This window comes from Homo sapiens, chromosome 21 (genome assembly GCF_000001405.40).
Source record: "Homo sapiens chromosome 21, GRCh38.p14 Primary Assembly".
NCBI classification, from domain to species: Eukaryota; Metazoa; Chordata; class Mammalia; order Primates; family Hominidae; genus Homo; species Homo sapiens.
The window spans coordinates 27,710,861-27,733,475 of NC_000021.9; the positions used below are offsets into that span (position 1 = coordinate 27,710,861).

Below are 22,615 nucleotides of genomic sequence, written 5' to 3' on the forward strand. Positions count from 1 at the left end.
GACACTTGATGACTGACTTTCAGATTTCCATTTTGGTTCTCCATGTACCTCTGCTGTGAATAAGAAAATAACAATCCTATAATCCCCCAGTATTCTCCTTTATCTTATTTGAATCCTTAAATCACCAAGAAAAAGAGTACCTTTAAATGACTTCCTCTTCAGTGTAAAAGAGGTAAATGTGGATAATGTTTGTTTTTTTTTTTTAGTTTTTTTAAATTTATTTATTATTATTATACTTTAAGTTTTAGGGTACATGTGCACAATGTGCAGGTTAGTTACATATGTATACATGTGCCATGCTGGTGCGCTGCACCCACTAACTCGTCATCTAGCATTAGGTATATCTCCCAATGCTATCCCTCCCCCCTCCCCCCACCCCACAACAGTCCCCAGAGTGTGATGTTCCCCTTCCTGTGTCCATGTGTTGTTCTCATTGTTCAGTTCCCACCTATGAGTGAGAATATGCGGTGTTTGGTTTTTTGTTCTTGCGATAGTTTACTGAGAATGATGATTTCCAATTTCATCCAATGTCCCATGGGCAAGGACTTCATGTCTAAAACACCAAAAGCAATGGCAACAAAAGCCAAAATTGACAAATGGGATCTAATTAAACTAAAGAGCTTCTGCACAGCAAAAGAAACCACCATCAGAGTGAACAGGCAACCTACAACATGGGAGAAAATTTTCGCAACCTACTCATCTGACAAAGGGCTAATATCCAGAATCTACAATGAACTCAAACAAATTTACAAGAAAAAAACAAACAACCCCATGAAGAAGTGGGCAAAGGACATGAACAGACACTTCTCAAAAGAAGACATTTATGCAGCCAAAAAACACATGAAAAAATGCTCACCATCACTGGCCATCAGATAAATGCAAATCAAAACCACAGTGAGATACCATCTCACACCAGTTAGAATGGCTATCATTAAAAAGTCAGGAAACAACAGGTGCTGGAGAGGATGTGGAGAAATAGGAACATTTTTACACTGTTGGTGGGACTGTAAACTAGTTCAACCATTGTGGAAGTCAGTGTGGCGATTCCTCAGGGATCTAGAACTAGAAATACCATTTGACCCAGCCATCCCATTACTGGGTATATACCCAATGGACTATAAATCATGCTGCTATAAAGACACATGCACACGTATGTTTATTGCGGCATTATTCACAAGAGCAAAGACTTGGAACCAACCCAAATGTCCAACAATGATAGACTGGATTAAGAAAATGTGGCACATATACATCATGGAATACTATGCAGCCATAAAAAATGGATGATGTTATTTTTGAAATGGAGACATTGATTTCACAACTTAAGTGTCACATGCAGGGAACAGAGCATGAGTATTTATTTGTCCTTGTCCATACAGCCAGCAGTGCTGACAGCCCCCTCTCTTCTGGTGTAACAACGGGAGCCAACACCTAGGTGGATTCCTAGAGGGATGCAGTTGGCAATGACATTGTTCAGACACAGAATAGTGAAATGAGTGTTACAGCAACAGAAGCATTTCAGGCCATGGTGGTGTGACCTTCAAAGTTTGCCCGGAAATAGAAACTTCTCTATTATGCTTTAGTAAACACTTTATATTCTATCTTTGATTTAGCTTGCCAAACTAAGAAAATGCTTGATCTGTTTAACATTTTACATTATACTGTTGATAGAATGATAAATAGGCTAAATTTTAACAAAATAGCATATGCTCATTGTTGAGGTTATTTTACATGCATGCTCTTAGTTTTCTTAATGAGCCCCTATGCCTCATGAGAGTAAATTAACCATTATTTGTATTTCCTCTGGATGCTCAGAGACTTAAATGTGATTCATCCAGGGAAGAGCTTACTTTTTTTTTTTCAAGTATAGCATAAATGAGGTGAGGTAAAGGGTAGGTTATTGAATTGAAAATATAATTAATGTTACTGTCTCTACATCTCAGTGATAAAGCAGAGAGACATGAGCTTCAATGGATACGAATGTGTCACTATGTCAGTATTTGAGAAAATCTACCTTCTATCACACCAGGTGAATGTTTGCCTGACTAAATGTTCACAGAAACGTAACATCTGAAAAAGGAAATTTTAAAAAATCCCAAAGTAAGTTTGGCTCTGAAAGCTATAGATTTCCTAGAAAATATATGGTCACAGACTAGATCAATGGGGACAAGTTCATTAGATGTTTTCTGATAACATCTGTGGTGTTCAGAAGAGTTGAATATGCTCTGGCTTGCTGGGGATGGCAGCGAATTTGTATACCAGGGTATAAAAAGATGGCTGAGCAAGCTAGCAGGAACAGAAATGAATAATACATGCAGTTGCCAATGATACCCAAAAAGTTACAGTTATGAAAAGTGGCCTTCGCTTCTCTTAATTGTAAATGATGTTACAAAATAGTGTTGGGCGAACATGTAAAAGCTATGGGACTTGAGATGATACAATTTGTTTAAAAATCTGCTAGGCATGTGAGTCACAGTTTACTATTTGGGTGTGTCAAAATAATAGATTTTCTTTATTTCTAGATGTACATTTAATTTCTGACTCGAGGCCACTACCTTCCTAGTATGAACTCCCTAAACGAATTCACTGTGAATCTTCCATTTGTGCTTTTCTAAGTATCCTGCAATTAAACCAGAATTATTAGTCAGCATCAGCCTGGCTCACATCTCCATGTGACTCTGTCCTACTCCTCTTCTCAGTCCTGACCTAGCCCTCGAGGTTCATAGGTCTGTAGTCTGCCAAAAGAAAGGACAAGTTACCCTAGGTGGTTGTCACCCATTGGTGGTGGAAAGGGAGGGGACTGTTTCTTGTTCTCCTTTGCTGTTTGGCAGTGACATTAACTGGAACTGGCATGTTTGTACACATTTGGTTCACTGGCAACTCCCTGGCATTGCCTCTGAGGTTCCAGGCTCTTTGTAGAAGTTGCAGTTGCATCATAAACAACCTTATATTCTTATTGATGTAAAACAGAACATTTTTTTTTTTCCTCACGAATGTGCTAGGTTAGCTGGGGCCACACAGCTACAAGAGGCTTGGTAAGTTCAGGTCTACTACAGGGCGGGCAAAAGGCCCAGAAGCTAAGTGGAGTTTGCTCTTCTCATGGTGGTTGGCAGAAATCCAGGAGGAGAATAAGAAATGAATTGTGCCCCATAAATTCTTCTTACTGCCTAATCTCACTTTTTCCCATATGTCAATCTCCAAAACAATCACATGTACAAGACCAACTTAAATGGTTTGGGGAATTATACATTATCACCTGGTGAAAGATGGCAAAGGTAGGGGTGAAGAAGTAGACACACAATACAAGGTAAAGGTTATATTTAACCAATCTCTGTCTGCCAAGTCCACTTTCAAATTCAAAACTAATGGAAACAAGACTCAAAAAGATGGAAGATCAGAATATAGTATCCCAGTACTTTGGGAGGCCAAGGCAGGTGGATCACCTGAGGTCAGGAGTTCGAGAACAGCCTGGCCAACATGATGAAACCCTGTCTCTACTAAAAATAATAATAATAAAAAATAGCCTCATGTGGTGGCAGGCACCTGTAATCTCAGCTACTCAGGGGGCTGAGGCAGGAGAGTCACTTGAACCTGAGAGTCGGAGGTTGCAGTGAGCTGAGGTCATGCCATTGCACTCCAGCCTGGGCAACAGGAGCGAGACTCCATCTCTCTCTCTCTCTCTCTCTCTCTCTCTATATATATATATATATATACACACACACACACACACACACATATCTTATCTCTCTATGTGTATATATATATATCTGACTGAATTTTTATATATATATCTTATATCTCTCTCTCTCTATATATATATATATCTATGTTTGTATAGATATATCTTTTCTTACAGGTAAGACTGATTGGGAAAATAAACATGATTCTGTAGGCAAAACTGGAATTTCAAATACCCAACTCCTTGACTGTTACTTACCCACTGTATTATTCAGGGTTCTTCAGAGAGACAGAACTAATAGATATCCAGATGATTGATTGATAGATAGATATATAGATAGATGGATAGATAATAGATGATAGATAGATAGATATAGATAGATAGATAGATATAGATGATAGATAGATAGATAGATAGATAGATAGATAATAGATGATAGATAGATATAAGAGAGGAAATTTGCTCCGTGAATTGGCTCATGTGACTAGGGAAGCTGAGAAGTCCCACGATGGCCTATCTGTAAGCTGGAGAACCAGGAAAGCCAATAGTACAGCTCAGACCAAGTCCAAAGACCTCAGAACCAGGGATGCCTAAGGTTCAACTTTTAGCATGAGGCTGAAGGCCTGAGAACTTGGTGCAGGGAAAGGTGCTGGTGTAAGGCCCCAAGTCCAAAGATTAGAAAACCTGGAATTTGGATGTTCAAGAGCAGCAGAATGTTGTTCTCAGCTGAATGATGCTCTTCAGCTACAGAAGAGAGAGACAAAGTAAATTCACCATCTGTCTGCCTTTTTGTTTTATCTGGGCCCTCAGCCAATTGGATGGTGCCTGCTTACATTGAGGGTGGATCTTCCTTACTCAGTCAACCAATTCAAACCAGTCGCTTCTTGAAACATCCTCACAGACATAGCCAGAAATAATGTTTTATTAAATATTTGGGTATCCTTTAATTTAGTAAAGTTGATAACTAAAATTAACAATCACACCTATCCAGAAATTCAGTCAGCAATTGTAACCTTTCTGTAATGAGGAAGAAAATACCAGACAGGCATCTCTAAAACAAAAGGAACCCTGAATAGAATGACCCATGCTCACAGACAATCTCTAACTCCCAATCTCACCACAAGACACTATTAGGATGCACTTTGCCCTTGGGAAAGAGAAGCGAGAGGTAGGAAGAAGTTATATGTATTCTTAGCAGAATTTTCTTCCCTGAGGAATATAGACATTTTCATCCCACTTTAGAATTATGGAAGAAAGATACTATGGTGTTCTAACAAACCACTCTTCTGATTCCTGTTGCAGCTTCCACGCTGCTTCTCTGGTTGCAAGCATTTTCGTCCTGCCTTGGAGAGCCTCTCAATTCCACCTCAGCTTAATTTGTGTTTTTCCTGGGTCCCTCTCCTCTCTCAATTGGCCAACATAATTAAAGTGAAGATTCTCCACTACCAGTGAACCATGTGAGAAGGGAAGGAGGATTGTATACAACCATATATTTTCTGGTGTGGAACACCAGGCCATTAATCCAAACAATTCCCAAAATGACCATGAGTGGTGGTGAGGCAACGACTTAAATTTTTTTTTTTTTTTTTTTTTTTTTTTGAGAGGGAGTCTCACTCTGTCACCCAGGCTGGAGTGCAGTGGCATGATCTCGGCTCACTGCAACCTCCGCCTCCCGGGTTCAAGTAGTTCTCCTGCCTCAGCCTCCCGAGTAGCTGGGACTACAGGCATGCACCACCATGCCCAGTTAGTTTTTGTATTTTTAGTGGACACAGGGTTTCACTATGCTGGCCAGGCTGGTCTCGAACTCCTGACCTCGTGATCCACCCTCCTCAGCCTCCCAAAGTGCTGGGATTACAGGCATGAACCACCGCGACCAGCCAGCATCAACTTACTTTGAATCTGACATCCCTCAGACAACAGAGCAGGCTTTTCCAAGAGTCTCATTTGTTTGCCTCCCTCTACTCCTGCAGGTTTTATTCCAGGGTTGTGGAATAAAACTTGATTCCTATTTCTTTTCTTTCTCAATTCGGTCATCTCCCCCATGCTACTCTTATCTCCTCTTATGTGTTTGTACCACTAGGCAACTCTGTATCGCTCATACCCAGATTGGTATGTCTTCAATTTAGGATTTAATATCTGAAAGTTTCACATTTAGAGCAATATTTATAGTTTCTTTGTTGTGGCCAAAAGTGAAAAAGTAGAAATACAGTACAGAGAAGTAGATAAAAAATAATTTCCCAATAATAAAGCACTTACAATCCTACTACACAGAAACCATATATACTTCACTCATTCATATATTTTTTCATTTGTCACATGTTCCAAGACCTTCTTCTGTATTTAAAGTTCTCTTGTAAACATTGAATATTGCACTGTGATCACTATAGGAATGTATGTCATCCTCATATACTTATAATTTATTGAGATACTGATTTCTATAGATTTTCCTTTGTTTTCAATTAAACATGTTTTCAAATGAAGAGTATCAGACTTTTCCTGACTTTTGGCTATTTTAAACTAGTAAATTTAAGCTAAATTTCTTTTAAGATTACATAAGATCTTTAAAACAACAACAAAACACAAGATATACAAGTCTCATTGTTGTGCTCTTTTTTGGTCCAGTGAGCATTCAACATATATAAAATAGTGTAGAATACTAATATGTTAATGTATTTTGTTCCTGGCAAATTTACCAAATAATTCTATGTAGTTCTGAATCATTGTTGTTTCATTTTATAATTTTTTGAAAATTCAGCTTTCATTTGTCTTCCACAGCTGCGTCACATCCTAAGCATATCTCATATCCAGAATTTTTTTTGCTAATTCATTAGATTTTACTTTTCACCAAAGAAAAATAATGGGGTTACTTTAGGATATAAACCCACTGATTTTGGTATCAATTAATAATATATGAAATCTAATTTTGAAAGTATTTTCTCTGCTTTTTTCTTGATTTAAAATTACATTGTTTAAGGGCATCAAAAATTATATTCAACAAATATTTGTCATCAAGCTACATGTTTACTACATTTTGAATTATTTTCAATAGGCATTTTCAGCCTAGGCTTTTCTTTATTCAACTTATCCCTCATTACCCATCTCTCCAAGCTGTAGACATTGACATCCTGCCTGGCACTTGACAATTTCCAAATCTGGGAGTTGGACTTTGTTTCCTGCTTCCTCAACAACTGGCTAGGATTAAGCCCACCCAGTTGATAAAACATTCACCAGGAAGACAACAAACATACTGCATGGCTTGTCAAACCACTTTGGAATTTATCATATTATTTTTTAAAACTTTAAATTTTTTATTTTATGTATTTATTGATTTTTGAGATGGAGTCTCCCGCTGTTGCCCAGGCTGGAGTGCAGTGGCATGATCTCGGCTCACTGCAACCTCTGCCTCCTGGGTTCAAGCAATTCTCCTGCCTCAGCCTCCTGAGTAGCTGCGACTACAGGCACGCACTGCCACGCCCGACTAATTTTTTTTGGTATTTTTACTAGAGATGAGGTTTCACTGCACTCCAGCCTGGGTGACAGAGTGAGACTCTGTCTCAAATAAATAAATAAATAATAAATACTGATGTCCTTACATCAGCCAAGGGTAGCAATATTGGTAACTTTTAATTAAAACAGAAAACCATTTTTATTTTCAGGCAAAGCATGAGCCCAGTAGTAGAGCTACTAAACCTAATCAGCAACATCTCTCATGTCCTTTCACAAAACACGCTTTAAAAATCTTGACCCACAACATTTTATTCCCCTGCAGAAACTATGCATTTGTAACTGATATGGCTTGGATGTTTTGTCCCCCCACTCCAAATCTTTTGTTGAAATGTGACCTCCAATGCTGAAGGTGGAGCCTGGTAGGAGGTGTTTGCGTCATGGAGATGGATCCCTCATGGATGGCTTGGTGCTGTCCTCACAGCAGTGAGTGAGTTCTCACTCTGTGAGTTCATTTGAGACATGGTTGTTTAATAGAAACTGGTAGCTCCACCTTTTTCCTCTTGCCCACTCTCTTGCCATGTGATACACCTGCTTCCCCTTTGCCTTCCATCATGATCATAACCTCACCAGAAGCAGATGCTGGCACTATGCTTAATGTACAGCCTGCAGAATCACGAGCCAATTAAAACTCTTTTCTTTATGAATTAATTACCCAGTCTCAGGTATTCCATTAGAACAATGCAAATAAACTAACACAGAAAATTGGTACTGAAGAGTGGGACGTTGCTATAAAGATTCCTGAAATTGCGGAAACAGCTTTAAAACTGGGTGACATGCGGAGGTTGGAATATCGGAGGGCTCAGAGGAAAACGGGAAGATGAGAGAAAGTTTAGAACTTCTCAGAGACTGAATAGTAGTGACCAAAACGTTGATAGAAATATGGACAGTAAAGGTCAGGCTCAAAAGTTTTCAGATGAAAATGAAGAAGTCATTGGGAACTGGAGTAAAGAACACCCATGTTATGCCCAAGCAAAGAACTTGGCTGCATTGTGTCCATGGCTTAGGGGTTTGTAGAAAGGTAAACTTAACAGTGATGACCTAGGGTAAATGGTGGAAAAATCTGTAAACAGCACATCATTGCTGTAGCAATGATGTGCTGTAGCTGCTTCGAACAGCCTATGATCAAATACAGGAGCAAGGAAATGCCTTAAAGTTGGAACTTGTAATTAAAAGGGAAGCAGAGCATTAAAAGTTTGGGAAATTTGCAGCCTGGTTTGGCCATATGGTAGAAAGGGAGAAAACATTTTTAGGAGAGGAATACAAGAAGGGCGTGGAGAAACCACTTGCTAGAGAGGTTTGTGTGACTAAATGGGAGTCAACTGCTAATAGTCAAGACAATGGGAAAAAGGCCTCAAAGGCATTTCAGACATCTCTGGGTCAGCCCCCTCCCATTACAGGCCCTAAGGCCTAGCAGAACAGAATGGCTTCCTGGGCCAGGGCCAGGGACTTGCTAACCTTCACAACTTTGGAACACGGCTCTCTGTATCCCTGCTGCTTCAGCTCCCGCCTGACTCAAAGGACTGAGCCAATGCCCCAGAGGGTGCAAACCATAAGCCGTGGTGGCTTCCATGTGGTGTTAAGTCTGCCGGCACAACAGAATGCAAGAATGAAGGAAGCTTGGAAGCTTCCACCTAGATTTCAGAGGATGTATTGGAAAGCTTGGATGCCAAGATAGAAACCTGCCACAGAGGCAATGCCCCTGTAGAAAGGCTGTACTAGGGAAATTCCAAGGATAAAGGTGGAATTGGAGCCCATACAGTCCCCACCAAGGCACTGCCTAGTGGAACAATGGGATGGGGGCTGCTGTCCCATAGACCTAAGAATAATAGAGCCACTGGAAACTTCCATATGTGCCTAGAGAAGCCACAGGCACTGGACTCCAACCTGCGAGAGCAGCTACAGGTGCTGCACCTTGCAAAGCCACAGGGGCAAAAATGCCTAACATCTTGGGAGTCCACCCCTTGCAACAATGTGCCCAGGATGTGGGACACAGAGTTAAGGAAATAATTTTGGAGCTTTAAAGATTTAATGACGGCTCTGCTGGGTTTCAGAAATGTGTGGGGCCTGTTGTCCTTTTCTTTTGGCTGACTTCTCCCTTTTGGCGTGACAATGCTTACTCAATTCCTGCACCGCCATTGCATCTCGAAGTAAATAATTAATTTCTTTTTTTATTTTTTATTTTACAAGCTCATAGGTGAAAGAAACTTGCCTTGAGTCCCCAATGAGACTTTGAATTTTGGACTTTTGAGTGATGCTGGAATGAGCTGAGGCTTTTAAAGACTATTGGGAAGGGATGATTGTATTTTGCAATGTGAGATGAACATAAGATTTGGGGTCCCAGAGATGGAATAATATGGCTAGTATATTTTGTCCTCTCTAAATCTCATGTTGAAATGTAATCTCCAAAGTTAGTGGTGGGGCCTGTGGAAGGTGTTTGGGTCATGGGGACAAATCCCTCGTGAATGGCTTGGTGCCATCCTTGAAGTAATATGTAAGCTCTCAATTTGAGTTCAAGTGAGATCTGGTTGTATAAAAGAGCCTGGCACCTTCTTCTCCTCTCTCTTCCTCTCTCTCATCATGTGATATATCTGCTCCCCATTTGCCTTCCATCAATTGTAAGCTTCCTGAGGCCCTCACCAGAAGCAGATATTGGCACTATGTTTCATGTACAGACTGCAGAATCATGAGCCAAATAAACCTCTTTTCTTTATCAATTACCCAGTCTCAGGTATTCCTTTACAGTGATGAAAACAGACTAATCTAGTTACTGAAAACCTCTATGAATGAAGACTTTGCCCACATTTTCACTATGTATCCCAGATTTTCTAGAAGGTATTTCCGAATATAATTGCAAAAGCAAACATATAGTAGTGGTTCTGATTGCAGAAATTTTAGAGTAGCTTGTATCAGACTATCCATTAGAAAGAGAATAAATAAACTAAATTCCAGCACTGACAGCAGAGTAAAAACCTGTCTCCAATACATAAATAAGTCGATAAATAAATAAGTAACAAATAAGCTTTGAACAAATAGAGTTAAAAAAAGTTTGAAGACATTGGAGACTAGACACAAATGAGCAAATCCTGGATGGAGTTTGGCCCTTGAAAAGGAGAATGGCAAGGATGAGATCTCATTTGTACATCTTTTCCCTCTTAGGGGGAAAAAAAGACAAAAATAAAAGTATTGGAAACAGTAAATGAGAGAATACACAAAATTTACAAAGGAACAAATACATAAATAATTGCTAATGTCACATTAAAAAAATGAAAATAAGAAGAAAAGGAATCTTATCTTTAAATTCCTTAAAATAAAAACAAAAATTTTAAATCAGCATGCTGCATCAAGTCAAAAATAACTTATTTGGTTAAATAAATATATATTTTAGGTAAACGAAAGCTGAGAAGATATATTTCTCAAGTTCTGTACTATAAGAAATGCTAAAATAAATACTTCAGAATAAAGTGAAATGACTATAGACAGTGACAGAGATTCACAGGAAGAAATAAAGACCACTAAAAATAAGAGCTTTCTTTTAATTTCTTTAAAAGAAAATTGACAATTTAATGCAAAAAATATAAGGTTGAATTATAAAATTTATAAGTAGATTTAAAATGTATGGCACCAATAATGTTACTGAATTCATATGGGTCTGCAGCAACCTTAGTTTTTTCCTCTTCAGGAAAAACAAATTGACCAAAGAGGCAGAAGGAGAAACCAGAGCAAATTTTAGAGCAAGAGTGAAAGTTTATCAGAAGTCTTTGGAACAGGAATGGAAGGAAGTAAAGTACACTTGGAAGAGGAACAAGTGGGTGACATGAGAGATAAAGTGCACGGTTTGACCTTTGGACTTGGGATTTTATACATTAGCATACTTCCAGGATCTCGCATCCCTTCTCTCCTGATTCTTCCCTTGGGGTGGGCTGTCACATGTGCAGTGAACTGCCAGCACTTGGGAGGGGAGCATGCACAGTGTGTTTACTGGACCTGTACACATGCTCAATTGAGGTGTTCTCCCCTTACCAGCCAAATGTCCCTTGGTGGTAATATACCAGTTAAACTCTTCCATTTTACCTCTTAGTGCACATGCCCAAGCCCACTCACTCAACTCCTGAGATCTTATTAGAAAGCTGCTTATCACCAGTTTCAGGTGTTTCTGTTTCTTGGGAGACTGCCTTTCCCTGGCACTGGCTGTGACCATTTGTTATTTAGAGAGATGGTTTACTAACCACCTGACCATCACCTGATGGATGCCTGACATTCCTAGAGTGGGAGTGCTCTCCTACCCTTCTTGTGTGTGACTAGCTACCTACTGTAACAACTTCCCTTTCAAGAGTCCAAGACCTCAATTCTTTGGAGAAAAATGGATGAAGGTCAGTCTTCTGTAACTGCTTCCTTCTCACAGAGGGGCAATGGTGGTTCTGTGGGTCTTGGCCTTTGGCTAGTTGCCAGGGAAGGGTTTGCTTTGTGAGCTGGTGAAAGCAGTATCCAGCCAGGTCCAAAGGAGACACAGGCAGGATTTTACTTCTGTCATGTCTCACTGATGGGCAGTCTAGGGGTCTCCTGCAGGAGGGTGACTCTTAAATATTGAGAGGATGGTATCCCTCAATAATGATCATCTAGAGCTTGATGGCCTGAAGGCAAGAGAAGACAAATCAGGTTATTAGATTTAGCAGAATGTTAAAATGAAGTAAGGGGGTGATGACAGCTGACACACCCAGGTAGCTGGTGGCTATAGTCATAACTGCTAAGAATTGGGCGTGTGGGGGTGCTAGCCAATTCCAATATGTGCCAAGAATTGCAATACTGAAGCAGATTTTTTCATTACCCATCCCTTTTGTTTCTTCTGAGCTGCAGCCAGAGATCACTACTAGTTGGTTCACTGGAGTAAGTAGGGTGAGTCTAAATTGCAGACAAAAACTCAAAAACAACTGATGAGGCTAGAACTTAATCACAGGTGTACCATAGTTCTTCAAACATAATTTTTCTCTCTCCAGATCTTATTTTTATGAAAAATAAATCCTGATAGGACTGATGTGCTTGCAAAATAAGTTCTAGTCTTATTACACTTGGCCAGATTATTTGCATGAATCACAGCAAGAATAATCATTTTCCAGAAAGTGACATTTTTTACTTATGTCAGGAACCCTGTACAGGGACTGTGTAGACAAGGTGTGAGGCCAGTTTTCCCAAGGGGTTTTATTGTCTCTATAAGTCAAATTTGGTTCCTTAAAGAAATGCACATTATTTCAGTCAAAGCCTTGATAAAATAACCAGTGTCTCTAATTGTGTCCTGTTGCAAAAGAAAATAGATTCATATTGCATTTATGCAAATAACTGTATTGCCATGAGTTAAGAATATTCACAAATAGTTTTCAAATTCAGGAGAAATCAGGTAGGAAGAAAAAACATTATGCTTCAAATTATGTTGATAGTAGTATAATTTATTTACTCAATTCTTTAAAAGCTGTAAATAATGCAAAAGAAAATTTTCTTGTCTTTTAAAAACGAAGGATTAACAACATTTTAAGCAAAAACTCATAAAAGAATTATTTTAGTCTTCTACTAGTTTAGTCCATGTTCTGCTTGATATTCATGAACATTTTAGCTCTCCATATCTCTAATGACACAATCTTTGAAGTGATCAAAAACCTGTGTTTTAGAACACCTGTTAGAGTATTACAGCTGTTTATAAAACCTCCTTCTAAAAATAATCAAAACAAGACAACTAATGTTCGTGGATGACAAAACATCTTAGGGCAGGCACAGTCAAAGATACAATTGACAAGGAAATTTGTTAACTTGGTGGTACACAATAATTTAACATAATAATTATAATTATTCCTGATAGCATATATTAACTTATATCAGAGTCATAGGAATTTTGCATAATTTTGGAACACACATACCAATAACACATTTATAAAAATATAGGCCAATGAAATCCAAATGTTACCTTTGCATTAGTGTGCTATTGATGTCAAACCCAACTCAATAAAACCTTAATAGGCAAATCTGTTCAATTTTAATCAGCCTGATCATAAGGTAAGATTCTCATGAACATTTTATAAGCCTTTACAATTTTCTGTTAAAGAGCAGAACAATACTCTAAGAAAATTGTGTTGTGTTTTTATTCCAATGTTTAATTTACAGATAAGCTGAATAATACCCTTTTAATTTTAGCTAATATGTTCACTCACACAATTTCTTTTACATGATTAATTTTTCACAAACATTCCACAACTTACTTAAACTTTTAACTTTATCTAATCTAACTTTAAACAACACCTTAACCCTCTAAAATAAGCAATAGAAATAGAGCTATTATAGAGAAAGATGAATTCAGAAGTTGGGTAAATATTAAGCAGGTACCTGTCTTGGTAAATACATTTTTGCCCCAAAGAGGTGTGAATATTTTCTTTGGAGGCAGGAGGTGCCATGTGCCTCATTACCTGACATGATTTGGAGGAGAGTTGCTAGAGAAGATTAGCACAGAGTAGTCAGCTCTTGAACCCAAAAGGGAAAATTATAATTTTACTTGCTGCCTCCATAGTTGTCCTTGTTCTCTTGATGACAATGTCTGAACTGGGAGCTGGCTGAAGCAGAGAGCCCTTTCAGTTCAAGGTCACCAGGGTTGGGATTCTGTCCTGGGGCCCTTAAGCCCTCAGAGAAGTTCCATTTCAGTGGTTGAGCTTGTGGCACAGAGGACAAGCCATGTGGGTCTTTTTCCTATTTATCTCACTGACAGTTTACCTTCCAGTGGCCTGGCTTCCAGCACCAATGGCAATTACCTGGAGGAATGTCCTTAGGACAACCTGGAGGGAGATTGAGAGCTTGTAAGGTAGCCAATACTTGATCTTGCCTTTTGTCCCTGCATTTTTCCTTTTTCTTAACCCTGTTCTCCTTATTCTACTCTTGGTTATACAAGACTGAGAAAGCTAATCTGAGGACCTCCTGCACAGGGTCACTGGGTTCTATGACTGACTTTTGTAATTTCCTCCCAGTTAATACTTAGGCCAAACAAGATTACAAAGTAAAACTATTTTTTTGTTTTAAGGTTTGGGGAAATCAAACTTTTCCCCCCTTTGGGGGATGCATCTGTGGGGCATGTCCTATAGTATGAAGACATAATTACCCATCTGTGAAGAGAGAACAGAAAAGAGAAAAAGAAAAAAGGAATAACAAGGTCTTCCCTCTACTTTCCTATTATCCTGAATGGGGCATCCCCCAATGTCCTTAGGCATGAACTGGTATAACTGTGTACCTTTGGTCCCATCTCATCACAACTACTCACTTAAGAATATGTACCCCTAACCTTCCCTTTATCTCTGTTCTAATGGTAATCTGTTAGCCTGGGACCACCTTTCCTCTCTGTCCTATGGGTCTCTTGTACCTGTGGCCTTGGGCCAGCCTATATCCTTATTTCCATGACCTTATAGTGACACTTTCTTGGAATATTCCAGCAAAAAAAAAAGATACTCTCTTTTCTCAGCTTTCCATTTCCCATGTTCTTTAAGTAGAAGAGAAGCCTGTTTTTCAGCTAACTGCCCAAAGGGGAGTTATGGACTTTCCTCCATTCTCCCTTCAAATATGACCTTGAGGGTCTTGATGCATGTTGTGAAGAATGCAGAAGTAATTAGAGAAATGGAGGATACAGAAGGAAGTGGTAGGAAGCAAGAGGAATAATCATGGAAAGCCTTAATACGCTTGTAAATATAGCAGCCCTTGAATTCAAGAGAGCAATGTTTATTTTCCCTCTTGATATAAATTAAGAACCTTTGGAAGACTTAGCGCTTGGGGGAAGAACTCACAATTGGCAAAAGAAGAATTCTCCCTCCTTCCAAATGGGTGCTAACTCAAAAAAAGTAAGTAGGTGGGATCCTTAAAGGATCAGAGTGAGGCCCTATGCAGTTAGACAAACTGCTTCAAAAGCCACTGAAAACTCGACTCTGAGGTATAACAGGAACAAAAAGTATATGGTAAGTCATAAGGAGCTGGCAGAGCTGGGGTTCCAAGTAGTGTCTGTCCTGGAAATGTGTCAGCAGACAAGGGAAGGGTTTGTGGTCATCTGAGCTAGTAGGGTAAACACAAGTATAAATCTCAGGGTATTTCTGCAAGGCAGCCTGTGTCTTTGCTGCCAGACAAATGCAGCAAGAGCCATGGGTGCACAAATAACAGGGTGTGTTTAAAAATTCATGTGGCATGTGAAGTGAAAGCAAAGAGGCAGACTTGCCTCCAAAGCAGATAGTCCTGTGGGTGTGCAAGGCCATTTCAGAATACATGCAGAGAAAACAGGAGAATATGCTGTTTGCGTTTTTGGAAAGAGCTGATTTTAGTTGAAAAGGTAGAGGAAACCCTAGACATTGCACGGTTTTAGGCTTTAGCCCTACCTTTCTCACAAGCCTCCTGTCCAGGAGGGCCATTAGCATCTCAGATCTACTCAGTGTAAACCCCAAGGTTATTCCCACCTCTGCAAGCTGCCAGTCAGGGTCAGCTGAGAGATCAGCCTGGTGGGTGTGTGTGAGCAGAGTCACTTATGGCCAAGAGGAATTGTTCTGGGGGTTTGTTAGTAAGCAGGAGAAAGAAGGGGAGAAGAAAACTGTGTATGGGTGTTGAACACCTCCCACCGAAGCAAGTGAGGAATAAAGATCTCTTACCATTGAAGACCATGTCGAAGTCATGGAAACAAAATATGTTAATGGCCAAACGTATTAGAGACCCATGGCACCAAAGTATGTTAGCAGTGGAAGGTATCTGAGTCACATGGCACAAAAATATGTTCCCAGCAAAACATATCTGTGTCACGGCACCAAAGTATGTCACCAGCAGTAAATCCTTATGGGTCTACAGCAACCTCAATTCTTGCCTCTTCAGAAGAAATAATTCAAACAAGGAGGTATAAGGCAGAAGGAGAGATACAGACAAGTTTTAGAGCAGGAGTGAAAGTTTATTAGAAAGCTTTAGAACAGGAATGAAAGAAAGTAAAGTACACTTGGAAGAGGGCCAAGTGGGCGACTGGCGGGATCAAGTGTGTGGTTTGTCCTTTTGACTTGGAGTTTGATATGTTGACATGCTTCCTGGTTCTTGAGTCTCTTCTCCCTGATTCTTCCCTAGGGGTGGGCTGCCCGCATGTGCAGGGGCCTGCCAGCACTTGGGAGGTGAGCAGGCACAGCATGTTTATTGTATATGCATGCATGCTCACTTGAGGTGTCCTTCCCTAACCAGCCAAATATCCCTAGAAGGACATATACCAGTTAAACTCCACAATTTTGCCTCTTAGTGTGCATATTTGAGCCCAGTCACCCAGCTCCTGAGATCTTATTGGGAAGCTGCTGATCACCAGTCTCAGGTGTTTCTGCTTATTGGAAGACTGCCTTTCCCCGGCACTGGCTATAACCAATTATTATTTTAGAGAAACAGTATAACAGCTCCCTGACCTTCACTTGATGGTCCCCTGACATTCCTGTTTGGGACAGGGGGAAGGGGCTCTCCTACCCTGCTCATATCTAACTACCCACTTGTAAGAGCAATACAAAGAATAGATATATGGTCTTATATATACATCTTACGTACAATATCATTTCAAGCTTCTCACACTTCAAATTAAATGCTGCCATATTAACTCTAAGTAGCTTACAGTAAGTGAAAGATGCCTACTGTAATCCCTATAGTAAGCACTACAATTCACAAAATGGCATAGCCAAAAAGTCAATGGTAGAAGTAAAATGTAACACTGAAAGATTAACATAACCCAGAAGAAGGCAGAAAAGGAAGAACAGCAAAACAAAATCGGAAGAAATGAAAACACAATTACAGAAAATTAGCTAATGGAGATTAGAAAAATTACAAATGTAACCCAACTATACTAATTATTACATTAGCTGTTGTTATATTGTCAGATTTAATAAAATAATCAAGATCCAAACATCCTCTTTAAAAGATATGTATATTTAACATAAAGAAACAGGTAGACTAAAACAAGCAAGACCAAAAGACCTCTTTTGTTTTTTTAACTTTGTTTTAGGTTCAGGATATTTGCAGCAAATATCCTCTTTAAAGATATGTATATTTAATATAGGGCACAAATAGACTAAAACATAAAACATGGAAAAAGATATACTATCTAAAATGTAAAAATGTAAATTGTATGAATACTGTAATATCAAAGTATGCTCCAGTACAATAAACATTACCTGAAATAAAGCGCAGCATTTCATTAAGACATAACAATCATACATGTTTGCATACTTAATTAACAGAGCTTCAAAATACAGCCATGTACTGCATAAAGTTGTTTCTGTTTTGCATACATAACGGTGGTCCCATAGCATTATAATGGAGCTCAAAAATTTATAGCCGTTGTAATGCAGTGTGATGCATTACTCACGTGCCTGTAGTGGTGCTGATGTAAATATACCTACTTTATGATGTCAAAATGTTGTAGTAACTAAGTTGAATTTATGATTGAAGAAAAATATTTTTGATAAGTTTAGTGTAGCTGAAGTGTACAATGTGTATCTAGTCTACAGTAGAGTGCAGTGATGTGTTCGGCCTTCACATTCACTCACTAGTGCTTCATTGACTCACCCAGAGCAACTTCCAATCGTGCAAGCTCCGTTCAAGGTAAGTGCCCTATACAAGTGTACCAGTTTTTATCTTTTATACTTTATTTTTACCATACCTTTTCTCTGTTTACTTATGTTTAGATGTGCAAATATTTAACATTGTGTTATAATTGCCTACAGTATTCAGCACAGAAGCCTGCTGAGGTTTGTAACCAAGGAACAGAAGTCATACCATCTAGGCTAAGTGTGTAGTAGGCTATAGACTTGTGTAAGTGCATTCTATGATGTTCACACAATGACAAAATCACCTAACAACGCATTGCTCATACTGTATTTCTGTGGTTAAACGATGCATGACAGTATGTAAAACGAAAACAAAAAAAGTAAAGGAAAAAATGGACAATTACAGGTTTTAATATTGAATTATCACTGACTGATAGATTAGTTAGACACAAGACCAGGAAAGATACATAGGATCTAAAACACACTATCAATGACCTTTTTCTAATTGACGTTTGTAGAACACTGAAGAATATGTCACAGTTACGAAACTTCAGAAAATGCATTATTTTCAGTTGCATATTAAACGTTCACCAAGACAGAATATATGCTGGCCCAAAATAAATCTCAAGAAATGTCAAAAATTGAAGTCATATAAGAATATTTATTCACAGCCATAAAATTAAATTTGATACTATAACATTAAACTAGACAGAATTGTTCAAATGTTTGGAAAAATAATTAATCAAGAAAGAAATCACAAGAAAACAATTTAGAATCTCATTATAATGATAACAACACGTATCAACATTTGTGAAATGCAGGTAACATTGTGCTTAAAGGGCAATTCATAGCCGTAAATATTTTAAGAAAATAAGAAAGGTTAACATCAGTGATATAATTTTCCATCTTAAGCAACTAGAAAAAGATAAGCAATTTATATACAGAGTAAATAGAAGGAAAGAAATTATAAAGATATGAGAAATTAAGTAGAGAATAGATAAAAATGTTTAGATTAATAAATTGATAAACCCCTAGCAAGACTGATTAAGAAAAAAAACTTATTTATTATCAGAAATAATAAAAGGTATTACAATATGCAAATATTCATGAAAAACTCTATTCCAACAAACTTAAAGATTTTGATATGGACAAATTTTTGGAAAAATACAACATAGTAAAACTGACATAAAAAATAGAATGTCTGAATAGCTCTATACCTATTAACTAAACTGAAATTGTTATTAAAAAGCCTTTCTCCAAAGAAAAATACAAGACAATACATTGGTGAAGTATATAAAATATATGAGTATTAAATAATACTAGTACTAAGCAAAATCTAAAACATTATCTGGTTGTTCTTATCATAAAAAGCAGGAAAAAGAAGAAGAAGAGGTGAAGGAAGAGGAAAAGGAGGTGGAGGAGTAGAAGGAGTTAATGATGCAGAAAAAGAAAATTCAATTTTTAAAAACTCAATCCAATTTACATTTTTACTCCCCTAAATTATGATTCTATTTCTATCCTTTCATTCAACATGAAACTCATTTTCTACCGTGGCCCTTGCAATTTGTGTTAAATCCTGAACAAACTAATGAAACTAATTTCTTGAGAGCACACAGATTTACCTTCTTTCTCTTCTATTTGCACAAGTTCTTTTCTCTTCCAGGACTTTTATTTCTTATCTGAATGGTTTCTGCTTAGCTACAAATTTCCAAGATTATAGTGTTTCCATGAAATTTTAAGTGAAGAGGATACTAGGATAAAGCTCAAAAGAGATGGTAGGCTTAGAAAGGCTTTGCAATTGATATTAAAAGAACAATTGAGTAGTAATTGTCCCCATGCTTGGGTGAAGTTTTTGGCTTTTTATCTTTACCAAATTATTGCCTCCCTCTGCCACAATAAGTAAGGAACATTTAATTTAAAAAGCAAAATTTAAATAGTAGTACTACAATAAACTCATCAATATTAACTAATTGTTTTGAACATTTACTTAACTGAACAAGATCTTTACTATAGATTGTAATAGCTATGTTTAAGAAAAGTATCTCCTAACATTAATCAAAAGATTAAAATGACTTGTTATATTTGTTACAATATAATTCTCAACTCTGGAATTTTCTATCAATAGAAAGTTCATTCTGCAAAATTATTTGTATTTTATTTATTATTTATTTATTATTATTATTATTATTTGAGACTGAGTCTCACTCTCTCACCCAGACTGGAGTGCAGTGGTGCCATCTTGTCTCACTGCAATCTCCGCCTCCCGAATTCAAGCAATTCTCAAGCCTTAGCTTCCCTGGTAGCTGGGATTACAGGCACCCGCCACCATGCACGGTTAATTTTTGTATTTTTAGTAGAGAGGGGGTTTCACCAATGTGGCCAGGCTGGTCTCGAACTCCTGACCTCAAGTGATCCACCAGTCTCGGCCTCCCAAAGTGCTGGGATTACAGGTATGAGCCACTGTGCCCGGCCTGCAAAACTATTTTTAATGTCATTGTAGAAGTAGCACCTTATTCATGCTAAGGAATATAGCTATACAGACATGACATGTAACTTCCAAGCTTGATTCGTGAGATTTCAAAGAAATTTAGAAAAAGTCTTCTATCTACCATATGTGCATATTCTGAGCTTCAGTGTTTTTTTTCAGTAGTATGTTTGCCAAAGGGGTCCATTATTTTCTCCCTCAGACAATGAAATATTTAGACTTATGGCTCAGTTTTGCAAGTGAAATGCTCAAGGGAACATGGACTGGGAGAGAACAAATGAAATAATTTAATATTTACAGCACATTATTTTTGCAATAATTATTTTGGAGTCACCGATTCAATATTATCCTTTTTTATCTTGTTATTTATGCATGTAATTTTATTTTATTTATTTTTTTTTTTGAGACAGAGTCTGGTTCTGTCACCCAGGCAGAAGTGCAGTGGCACAATCTCAGCTCTATGTATGTGATTTATAATAATATATCATGATTAAAAACATGTTTCAAACGTTTATTTTACAAAAGCTAGTTTTATATGCTTCCTTTGAAGTTAACATAATTGCCTTATCGCCAGTTAAGTCAATATCCTCAGATTTAATAAAAAGTTGTCAGAACATGTCCTTAAGATTTTAGTAGTTACAAAAAGTGGTATGCATGTAATAATATTATAAATTTTCCTTTGGCACAATTTCTATTTTTTAATATGCTGTAATAAATAACATATTTGTGTTATTTTCCATAAAACCAGGATAAAACACAATCAAATTATGAGTATGAACTGAGAATCAATGAACTTCAGGAGATATTAATAGCCACATGTGCTGATTTTAGCTAATTCTATGGACTGTTACTATATACAATAAGATGTACTACATTTCTGAAAGACTATGCTATAGCTACAACTTGAATTCTCCCAGTGAAAGATATTTCATGAAATCATGAAGAATTCTTTACACTGTTACTTTGTAAGCTCTAATTTTAGAAGGATCCTCTTATAAAGAACCAATTTCTACCTTCCTTTTCATTTTAACTGATGGCTGGCAGTGCTATTGTCAGCAATTATGCAGCCCTTTAGTATTAGCTTCTTCATTCTAAGTGACAGCTCAAACAACATTAAAAACCATCATCTCTTTCCATAACTGCCTTGAGCTCACCAACACTTTCACACATTTATCACAGCCACCTGTTCATGAAACACAACATTTAGTTTTTTTCCTTCAGTGTATAGTGTGTTTGTAGTTCTTTTAGCTAATCTGAATATGCTATTTCCCTTGCCCTGATTTTATGCCATCATGATTATCTCATAAAAGACTTTTTCTGTGCCAGTTGTATCATGGTCCTACAATCAATTAACAGAATGTCAAAAAAGTAACTTCATTTCTTTGTATTCCTAAATAGTCTCCTGATATAAAACAGGAAATTAAATGACCAAGTTATATTTCTTTTTCTGCTAAAATATATAAAGCAAAGCAGGGAGACAATGACTTGACTGAACTGTCTCAAACTTTGTGCTCTTTTTATGTACACAAATACAAAAAATAAATAAATACATTGTACATTTAGGAAATTTTAGAAACTATACACTAGAAAAGAAAACATGGCACATATACACCATGGAATACTATGCAGCCATAAAAAAGGATGAGTTCATGTCCTTTGCAGGGACATGGATGAAGTTGGAAACCATCATTCTCAGCAAACTAACACAAGAACAGAAAACCAAACACCGCATGTTCTCACTCATAAGTGAGAGTTGAACAATGAGAACACATGGACACAGGGAGGGAAACATCACACACCGGGGCCTGTTGGGGGATGGGGGCTAGGGGAGGGATAGCATTAGGAAAAATACCTAATGTAGATGATGGGTTGATGGGTGCAGGAAACCACCATGGCACGTGTATACCTATGTAAAAAACCTGCATGTTCTGCACGTGTATTCTAGAACTTAAAGTATAATAAATAAATTTAAAAATAGAATTTTAAATGTTCACTATAGAACTTGTTCTAAACATTCAATGATGTGCTTTACTGGACGATAAAATATCGGTAACTCAAATAGGCAAATTTTCATTACCAAACTGGTAGTGTGGACAAGCCACCATAATCCATTTTAAGTTGATCTTTATAGTAAATTTGCTCAGAAAAATTAGATATACACAAATATGTCAACAGAAAAATTGATAAAAGGTTTAAAGAGATAAAAATAAATAAATGCAATAAATTATTTGGTCAACTTGAAGTCAGTTTGAATGACAATAAGCACTAAATTTGCATATCATTATGAAAAATATTAGACAATTCGTTTTCTGTTACTGATGATTTACTGTAGTGTGATCTGTAATGAATAACTTCCTTCTGAATAGTAATTTGGCAGGCTTA

General features: G+C 37.6%; 1 long non-coding RNA gene across 1 annotated transcript in view; it reads left to right on the forward strand.

Annotated features, from left to right (window-relative positions):
• Window positions 1–11,518: 11,518 nt before the first annotated feature.
• The window catches only part of LINC00113 (long intergenic non-protein coding RNA 113), a 28,855-nt gene continuing 17,758 nt past the window's right edge, over window positions 11,519–22,615 (forward strand). The window contains exon 1 of the long non-coding RNA NR_024357.2: window positions 11,519–11,553. This is a non-coding gene — a long non-coding RNA (long intergenic non-protein coding RNA 113). The remainder of the gene's footprint in view (window positions 11,554–22,615) is intronic.